Genomic DNA, 10788 nt, shown 5'->3' with positions numbered 1-10788 from the left:
GGAAGGGAGAATGGCAGGGAGCTGTCCCATGGGATGGACTTGGAGGGCACAGGAAATGCTTTGCTGTCTGGGGCAGAGCCTAGGTCTATGCCTATACCGTGGATGGTTTCAGGAAGCCCCATCTCCAAGGGGAGAGAAGTAGAGAATAATTGAAATGCCACTTATGTCATCAGAGAGGCACTGGGAGAAGGGCTTTCTAAGAACATCTCACTTACTGCTGCGCTGGAGGAATGGCTATTGCCACTTAAAGAATCTGAGGATCAGAGAGGTTAAGCCATTTGCCCACACTCACACAGCCAGGAAGCAGATGGAACCTGGTCTCACACCAAAGCCCTGTTCATTGAATTGCAATGAGGGCCTCTGTAGATGGAGGAAACGGACTAATCAATCATACTACCTTTTTCCGTCTTAACCCTCTGAGAAAGTCACTTACCATCCAGCGCCTTAGCATTTGTTTCTCTCTTCCTGCTCTTTACTCATTTACATCTTATTTCCTCTAGAAAAGTTTTTGCTGTATTGTCTTTCCCTCTGCCCTGTCCTGCCCCATGTGCTTCTCTCTCACGTCTCAGTGGTGTCACCAGCATCTTGGGCAGGCTCCTGAATACCTCAGGACACAAGCTGTCTGGAGACAGAGACAGAGTTTTCCTTTTCTGTGGGATGGTTATAGGAAACGGCACTTATGACTTCAGTGTCTGCTGAAAATTTAAAGAGACTCAGGAGAGAAGAATCTAACCTGGCTGCAGCCTTCTTGAAGGTCAGGCTAATATCTGCGGTTTCGATGAGGCTGAGCCACATTTCAGCAGGGACAAAGCTCTCTGCAAGTGTGCCCATTGACCCTGCTCCCTACCAATGAACTAGCCAGTGTACACACATACACGTGATTCTGCCTGCAGTACCCCCTATGGATATGTTCTTCTTTTCTTGACAAAATAGGGCCTCTGCAATGTTGGAAACAGCTTTAGCAAAAAGAAAAATATTCACCTAGACCCCACTTATTATTAAATGTTGTTATTTTTATTTGTGCATATTTCCTTTCAGTGTTGGATCACAAGTGGGCCTGCTTTTTTTATACTGTTGCCATCTGGGTATACATGCCATTTTCTCCTCAGCTTTGTTTCCTTAGCCTTACATTCTATAGTGCTCATTTTTTTTTCAGCTTTATACTTATTTATTATTTACTGGACAAATTCAAAACTTTATTTTTAAATTTTACTTTAAGTTCTGGGATACATGTAGAGAAAGTGCAAGTTAGTTATGTAGGTACACATGTGCCATGGTGGTTTGCTGCACCTATCAACCTGTCATATAATTTTAAGCCCCACATGCCTTAGATATTTGTCCTGATGCTCCTCCTCCCCTCACCCCCCAGCCCCCAATAGGCCTCGATGCGTGTTGTTCCCCTCCCTGTGTCTAGGTGTTCTCATTTTTCAGCTCCCACTTATGAGTGAGAACATGTTGTGTTTGGTTTTCTCTTCTTGCATTAGTTTGCTGAGGATGATGGCTTTCAGCTTCATCCATGTCCCTGCGAAGGACATGATCTCATTCCTTTTTATGGCTTCATAGTATTCCATGGTGAATATGTACCCCATTTTCTTTATCCAGTCTATCATTAATGGGCATTTGGGTTGGTTCCATGTCTTTGCTATTGTAAATAGTGCTGCAATAAATATACATGTGCATGTGTCTTTATAGTAGAATATAATGCTCATTTTTTAATGTAAATTCTGGAATTATTATTTTAAAATTACGTCTAGCATTCTATTGATTTGATGTAGCATAATTTATTAATATAGTTCCATGCTGGTGTGCATTCAAGTCACTTCCTTGGATTACAGAGATATAAAACATAATGGAAAATTTTACACATATAGCTTTTTGCTTCTGTGGCATTATTCCTTCAGAAAACTGATCAGAAATGGGAATGGTTATAAACAGTTTGATTGCAATATGGAGTTAGTATCTAGAGTGGAGTCGCAGTGGCCAGGTTAAAACCCAGGTTTGGCACTTCTAGCTGTGTGACCTTAGACCAACTATTTAATCTTTCTAAGCCTCAATTTTCTCAAATGTAAAACAAGGCTAATATAATACTTAATTCACAGGGTCATAGTGAGGACTTCATAAAATAATAAAATAAAATAACACATATCCAGCATACTTTAGTTGGTACTAATACTACTGCTGCTGTGACTACTACTAACACTATATTTCTATTATTTTACCTTCAGCTGGCTCAACACCAGTGGCTGAAACCCAGAATGTTTCCTAGAGCCAAATGCAGTCTGATTTGCAATAATCCAACAGGTCAAATTATTTTAGAGTCACTTACGCCACTCACTCATCCCGTCCATCCTAGCTCAGAAACTCTATTCTGAGCTCAGTTCTTATATCATCCCTTTTAAGGATCTTATATCATCCCTTTTTAAAGGCCTCTGTAGAATCCCAGTTTTTTTAAATTTTGGAAACCACATCCCAGCTCTCACCAGGAATATGAAAATATCCCTCACATCCTGCAGAAAATATAGTTACATCGGAGCAACAGACTACTAATAGATGGGATGTGAGGCTTTATCCTCACACCATTATGCATACCTCTATTTTTAGTTTTATTAAAACTTACCAATTTTGATTTCATGGTTTGAGTTAGAGTCTAGGGGTCCAAAGAATAATGCCTTCCACATCCCTTCCTGAGTTCAGAACCAAATAAGAAAAATATTTGGTTCTGAACTCAGGAAGAGTTATGGAAGGAATTATATAGGAATCAGATAGACAGAGATTGGAATCTGAGCTTCATGACCAGAAAAAGCTGAAGAAAAGAATACAGCTTAAATATGTAGCCACAAGGGATTCTCTAATCCTGTCCCCTGAAATGAAGTTGCAGCACACCTCATAAAATTTCTAGCTTTCCTCACTTGCCACAGAGTGGATAGCAGCCCGGAATGGACCCTCACTGCAGATGACATATCTGAGAGGGAAAGGGAGGTGCCAGGTGGAAAATGTCCACTTTATCTCCAAACTCACCATCAACAAAGAGAATTTCCTCCTCCTTTTGTGGGGAGAAGGGAGCAAAGGATGGTTAGAGAGGTTTGCAGCTGAAGTTCCTCAACATGAGAATATCAGGCCAGTGTACAACAGGTTTCTTTTGGGACCCAATATTTGATCTCATGCTGACCTGCTAGATATGATGACAACAGGTTCATTCTCACCATTTGGACCTTTGACGGTTTCTAACAGCCATGGTTAGACACACTCTCTCTCTCTCTCCTGGCTTTCCTCATAACACCTCTGGAACAGTGTTGACCTACTACCCAACATGGGGATGCAGGGATGTGACATTTACGTGCTTGAATCATGTTTTCACACCACTTTCTTGTCACTTTATAATTTCATCCACCATTTAATAGGATTATTTCAGCTGCCAAAAACCCCTAAAAAAATCTCAATTCAAATTGGCTCAATCAGGAAAGAAATGTATTATTTCACACCACAAGAAGTAAGAAAAAAAATAGTGTGTTATTATTGACAACTCTGTGATATTGGACCCAGGTGCTTTCTATTACTCTGTTCTGTCATATATGCCCCTGGCTTCATCCTAAGACTGGTTCCCCTTGTGGTCCTAAGATAGATGCTGCAATTCCTAGCATCCCATCCGGGAACCACATCTTCCAGAAGAAGGGAGACCATTCCACCTCTTTTTAAAGTTTTTTTAAATGAAGAAATCTTTCCTAAAATCCCTTTCACACTGTACTGACCACTGGTAAACCAATCTCTAAGCAAGTAGATAGAACTACCATTATGGGAGTTATGAATACATTGGGTGGATACCCTAACAAAACTGGGGCCCTGACGAAAGGAAAAGGGGAGAACAGATGTTGGACAGGCAGACAGCAATATCTGTTGTGCATCACTAGGCATTTGCTTCTGTGGTTATGATTTTAAAGAGCTGGTCTCCTTCTTTCTCTCTTTTCTCATCTCTGAACCTCAATTTCCTCATCTGCCTTCTGCACCTTGCAAGGCTGCTGTGATGATCAAGTGAGATAATGTGTATAAAGTACAAAGTGCTGTGTAAACCTTGCATCTGAAGAACATGAGTTTCTCTACCACTGCCAAGGGATAACTCACTCCAGACACTAGTTGTTGTTTGCAAAGTTGGTGTAGTTCTTATAAGACTGGAAACCAGAAGCATCTCATCACTAGGATGGGTTCTTCTGACCTCTATATATAACAAAAAATGTGAATTCAAATTTAAAGCATATTAGGTGAACATGAAAAAATGGTTAAAACCATAACGAGATACCATCTCACAACCATTAGGGTGTCTGCTGTCAAGAAAACCCCGAAACAAAGCAGAAAGTAATAAGTGTTGGTGAGGATGTGGGGAAATTGGAACCCTGTGCATTGCTGGTGGGAATATGAAATGGTATAGTCACTATGGAAAACAGTATGGAGGTTCTCAAAAAATTAAAAATAGAACCACTACATGATTTAAAAATTCAATTTCTGAGTATATTTATCTCCCAAAGGATCAAAAACAGAATCTCAAAAAGATATTTGTATACCTGTGTTCATAACAGCACTATTCACAACAGCCAAGAGGTTGGAAGTGCCCATCAATGGATGAATGGATAAACAAAATTTGTGTTGTAAACAAAATATATACACACACTCATAATGGAATATTAGCCTTAAAAAGGAAGGAAATTCTGACACATGCTGCAACATGGATGGATTTTGAGGACATTATGTTAAAGGAAATAAGTCAATCCAAAAAGACAAATACTGCATGATTCTGTTTACATGAGGTATCTAGAGTAGTCAAATTAATCGGAACAGAAAGTAGAATGGTGGTTGCCAGGGGCTGGGGGAGGAGGAGATGAGGCATTGTTGTTTAATGCACATAGAGTTGAAGTTTTGCAAGATGAAAAACTTCTGGAGATTGGTTGTACAACAATGTGAACACACCTAACACTACAGAATTGTACGCTTAAAATGCTTAAGATGGTAAATTTTGTGTAATGTTTTTACCACAATAATTTCTTTGTAATGAAATAAAAATTTAAAAGTTTGATAACATGCATGCAGTCCTGGATAGTAAGTTGGGAAATAGGCATTCATATCCACCCCACAAACAGATAATGGCACTTTAAATGTGCTTTCTTTTGTGGATAGTGGTTTGGCAATATCTCTCAAAATTAAAGGTAGAGGAAGGAGGAAAATCAGAGGAGCATTATCAAAGAGGAAGTCCACAGGGCTTAAAAGAAGGGCTGTCAAATAATAGGAGCAGGCAGGACCCCATGAACAGCACTGGAATCAGTGTCCAGAGACTGCCCAGCCTCTGCCCAGCAGGTGCCATTTGCAGCCAACATTAGGAAGTTTAAAGCAAAACATCCCTTGCCAGTGGAGAAAACACTGAATCTTTCCAGTACTGAGGGTCTGTATTACCTCTCCTTCTCATGACCATCAGGTAAAAGCCTCCTACCTGTCATGTGCTGATCATCTTGATAGGACTGCCATTTACCCATGCCCTCAGATTTTGCTAAGCCATCTCTTTGACATCCATATTAATCAGGGTAGGCTAGCTAACAAACAGACTCAACATTTTAGGTGTTAATGTAGTAGTAGAACTTTATTTCTTTCTCACACGAGGTTCAATGCAGGTGTTCTTGGTCAAGCAGCTCTCTAGAGCAGTTTTCCTCCAAGCAGTGAGACTCTGGGATTCAGGCTTCCTTCATCTGGTGGGTTTGCCTTGCTTAAGTCCTCCTCAGAGTCTTCCACTGGAACTTGTAGATTCAACCAGACAATGAGAGAGAGACCATGAAAGATTGCATGGGCCATTTTAGGGGCTAGGCTTGGAAGTGGAGTTGTACATTATTACCACCTATATTCCACTGGCAAGACCCAGTCACATGGCAGCACTTGTAGTCTTCTCGTGTGATCATGAAGAAGATGAGATAATAAGAACACATAATGTGTCTGCCATAGTACCTTATATGGATGGACAACCCTCTTTATAACAGCCTGAACACTTAAGCCCCTGAAACAGAGGGAATGTCTGGATACCTGGAGGAACATGGTGATGAGTTCAACATCCCCTCTGTCTCACAGCTATACTTTGTTGGGCTTATAAAAACCATCTTGAAATGCTCCCAGCCCATCCCCAACTGCCACTTGTGTTTATTCATTTTATAATCATAGAAAAAATGAAGAACTCATTTCCACTTGGACAAAACCAACTTTTCTCCTCTTCCACCCACCATAATTTTATTACAGAGACCACATTTCCCAACAATTACAAAGAAACCCTCAAACATACTACAATGAGTAGAGGAATGAGAAACAGATCCCTGCATCAGCTTAGTCCTCTCCATGGAGGAATTCCCCCCAAGCCAACATATCCAAATTCTACCTATTAGTTGGGGCACATCCCAAGACATAAGTAGCACTTATTTCTTCTTTACTTCTTTTCTTTCTCCTTCTTCTTCTTCTTTTTTTTTTTCTTTTTGATAGAGTCTCACTCTGTTACCCAGGGTGGAGTACAGCCTCACACTTTTGGCCCCAAGCAACTCTTCCACTTCAGCCTCCCGAGTAGCTGGGACTACAGTTGCGTGCTACCATACCTAGCTAATTTTTTAATTTTTTGTAGAGGCAGGGTCTTGCTGTGTTGCCTAGCCTGCTGTCAAACTCCTGGGCTCAAGCAATCCTTCGACCTCAGCCTCTCGAAGTGCTGGGATTACAAGACATGAGCCACAGTTCCCACCCTCACTGCTCCAGCCCAGAGAGATCCCATCCCTTTCTGCCTTACTTAACACTGATTGCTTTTGTTACCATCATTTGACTTTTGGTTATCATTTGTATTGAATTTCACATCTTAATGCAACAAATATCTCCTAAGCACACTTTGTTCCAGACTAGGGGATTCAAAATTATAAAGAGAAGCAGCCTCCCTGGAATATGCCATCCCGTGAAGGAGGCAGATGAGCGTGCTGTAGAGTGGATGTTTTGGTGCCATCAGGTGTACACAAAGCATCTTGGAGACTCAGGAGGGCAGAGAGTCCTTCTGAATGAGGATAAGTTGGTGCCTTTGAATCTGGACTTTGAAGAGTGTATAAGACCTTAACAATATAGTTTGGGGAGAGCATTCCAGGTGAAGACAAGAATGAGAGAAGGCACCAAGGTAGGACTGTGAGGGGAAATTTCAAGAGAAGCAAGTTATCCTGTATGGCTGGAGATAAAGCTGGAAAGATGAATATATCCGCTGGGATTCTTTTAGCTGCAAGTAACAAAAGTATGTCTTGACCAGGCTTAGGCAACGGGGAAATGTATTTTACACAATGGAGTCCAGAAGCAGGGGCTTTTCAGAGCAGTTCGGTCAGGGTTCCTGGTCTGTTTCTTGGTTCTTCTCTCAGTTCTCCTTTGACTTCATGGTGGCCATCCTTGTGGTTGCAAGCTGGCTGTCAGCTGCACCTGGGGCAAAAGGTGTTTGCATTGAAAAGCAGAGAGGGAAAAAAAAGTAGTATATATTTCCCAGAAGCCCCAAGCAAACTTCTCCTCAGATCCCATTGACACGAAGTAGCTTAGGACTGCCCATTCCTGAACCCATTACTGACTAGAGACCTACCTTGAATGGTACAAACAAACTGCATGAGCAAAATGCAAGGTCAGGCATCATCCATGGTGATTCCTGTAAAAAGCTTAGGCCAGACTGTGGAAAGCCTTGAAACCCAGACTCAAGAATCTGTGTGAAAAATAAAAGGCATGGGTAGGGGGGCATTGATTGTTTTTCAGGAGAGAAGTAAACAGAATTGAGTTCAAAGAATAATTCTTTGGCTATCTTGATGGGAAATGACCAACCACAGGGGAGTGGATGTGGAAGAACCATGTGCCCCTCCCTTCCTGGCTTCTTCTCATCAAAAGTGGCTCCCAGGGAAGAAGCTGCAACACTCACTCACACCATCTCTAAATGACTGATGAGGTATATGATGCCAGTGGGAATGGAAAGGACGGTTTTGATGGAAGAAACAGTCCCAGACAGTACTGACAGGGTGATTGTGGAGGGGGAAAGGAAAATTATAAATAATTCCAAAGTTACAAGTTTTGATGACTTAAATGTGCAATGCCATGAATACAAATATGGTCATCTAGAGGAGAGAGCGAGGTGGTTTCGAATCCATAAATCAGATGCATGACTAGTAGTCATGGTAATAAATATAAAATTGTGCTGATAGTAGAGGAATAATAATGAAAAGTAAAACCCAGAACAGTTGGTATGTGCCAGGGACATAATAGATACTTAGTAAACATGTGTTGCTCTGAAATATGTGTGTGCATTTGTATACTTATATACATAGAAGATACACATTTACTCCTTATGACAATCCTATTAACTGAGGCACAGAGTGATAGAAGTGAGTTATCCAAAGTCACACAACTGCTAAGTAGTTAAGTTAGAATAAAACTCAAGCATCTGACCCAGGGTACCATTCTCTTAGTCTTTATAACAAGAGCTAACATTCATGAAGCACCTGCTAAGTGACAGTACTTTATATACCTTCTCTTTAATCCTTAAGAGTCATCTCTATAAAGTATACAACATTCCCCCTGTTTAAGAGAGGAGGATTCTGAGGCACAGAGAGGATAAGAGACTTGCCCAGAGTCACAGGTAAGTGGCAGATGTGGGATTCACATTGCAGAAGGCATGGCTCAAAACACACACTCCATGATGCCATGAAAAATATAAATGCCCCCTGGAAACTCAAGATCTGTATCACTCATCTCATCAATGAAATATTAAACTTCCAGCACTTGAAGACCAAAGCTTACACATTTTGGGTACACTGTTGATGAGCATGGGACCTAGCACCTAGATGCCTGGAACTGATAGAATTTCTAAGCCTCTGGGAATCTCTGCATATAAGGAAAAACTGAAACTACAGTGGGAGGTTCCTGCCCAACTGGAGCATGAAGCTTTGAGGAGATGGAAAGGCCAGGTGGATAAGAGGCCAAGCTTAAGAACAGATGTTCTGAGTCCAAATCGTAGCCTAGCAACTCATTGCTAGGGAGCCTTAGGCAAATAGCTTAACCTCTTGGAACTTTTATTTCCCCAGCTGTAAAATAAAGATAATACCAACAAACAGCTCATCTCAAATAAGATGAAGCAAGTAAAGCATTGGGCTCATTGCCTAGAAGATGGCAAAACTTATTACATGGTAGCTGTATTGCTATTATTGTTCTTGCTGTTGTTGTAATTTCTATAAAAGAGTATAGAAGACAAACAGCCCAAGTGCCAGAAAAAAAGATTCTGCTGTTTATACTTCATGATGCTCCGATCCCTCAAAACCTTCACACAGCAGCTGCCTCAGCCTTCTAGTTTCTTGGCAGGACTCTTCACATCAGATTAAGAAAAGCCAGCTGCTATTCCTGGATCACAGGAGGAAGGGAAAACAGAGGTGAGGAAAGCCTGCCCACCCAACGCCCTTTTCCTAGGCCCTTTGCAGCTCCCAGAAGCCCCAGCTCTACCACCTGCCCAGCCTCCCAGGCACTGGCCCTGGCACTGCCTGAGATGTCACTCTCTGCCTAGTCACCTGGTTTGCATTTCAGAGAGTGACCAGTAGCTATTGGCTGCTGCAGGTTCCAGCTGTTAATACCATGACCAAGAAGCAGTGGAGTTGTGAGCTCAGTGCTGGCACAGGACGGCTGCTTCCCTTTCCCAGAGGCAGGGAACAGGAAGGTGGGGAGAACCCAGTGATCTGTGAAGCCCTGGGAACCATAGCATAGGGTGCTGGCTACCCCAGAGAGGTTTCAGATCTTCCAGACCAAGATGCCTAGCTCCTTGGTTAGCCTTGAGCCAGATGCCAGCTTACTGGCTGGGAAGAGATAACTTCCTCTCAGCAGCCAATGCTCCCAGAGGCTTCTGGAATCTGCCTCAGTATACAAGTGCTTAGTCATGGACATTAGAGCTAGCAAAGCCCTCAATCCGACCGTCCCATTTTATAGATAAAGAAACTGAGGCCCAGAGGGATGAAGGGACAAGTTTAAGATGCACCATGAGTCAGAGCAGGGCTGGGGCAGGAACACTTGTGCAAACAATGAGCCTAGGGCTTTTTTTATTACTCAAAGCCACAGAGCTGCCCCCGCACTCCTACCTAAAAAGGGCTGGATCCGGTGATCCTAAAAAGGACTGGATCCGGTGATCCAGTTGGAGCCTAGGACCCCAATACACAGAAATCCTCTCCAAGTTCCACACACCTTTGGAAGAGGACTTGCCAAAAGCAGATGATAGGCAAAAATAACGGCAAAGAAAAGTTTGCTTTGGCATGGAAAGATGTTCACCCTACAGTGTTAAATAAAAAAGAAACAAATTCCCCAAGCAGCATTTATCCTATGATCCCATTTGGATAGGGAGCACACATGCATAGAAAAAAAGACTGGAAAGAGAAGAAAAACAGTTACTCTTAGGAAGCAGGATTACGGGTCATTTTCATTTTTTCTTTTGTCATGCATATTTTCTAAATTTTCTACTTTGAGAGTGTTTATTTCTGAAACAACAATTTTAAAAGGATATAAAGTAAGTAGGCAAGTGCCAGGGTCCCCAGTCACCCTCACTCAGACAGGCTTGGCTTGCCACAGCTCCCAGGACAGACTGCACCCATTGCATAAGGCGGGAGCATTTTTCTTTCCGGTGAAGCCTAAACAAGCTCAGACCTGCAGTCAGGCAGCTGCAGCTGTGGTTTTGCTGCAGTCTGGGAACAGCAGCTCCAGTGCGGGGCACTCCTGGGTCTTCAATGTGCACCA

At 42.2% G+C, this 10788-nt stretch overlaps 1 annotated feature.

Moving 5' to 3' along the window:
- Positions 9294-10493: an enhancer, noted in NCBI's record as "CDK7 strongly-dependent group 2 enhancer chr11:35137568-35138767 (GRCh37/hg19 assembly coordinates)". NCBI's record gives its function as "activates an origin of replication core promoter dependent on BRD2, BRD4, P300/CBP, MED14 and CDK7 cofactors, with strong dependence on CDK7, by STARR-seq in HCT116 cells {active_cell/tissue: HCT116}" and the evidence as "EXISTENCE:reporter gene assay evidence [ECO:0000049][PMID:35650434]".

The sequence above is a fragment of the Homo sapiens genome, chromosome 11, assembly GCF_000001405.40.
Source record: "Homo sapiens chromosome 11, GRCh38.p14 Primary Assembly".
Classification (NCBI taxonomy): Eukaryota; Metazoa; Chordata; class Mammalia; order Primates; family Hominidae; genus Homo; species Homo sapiens.
The sequence above is the reverse complement of the archived record's forward strand: the minus strand, read 5'-3'. Positions and strand labels throughout refer to the sequence as shown.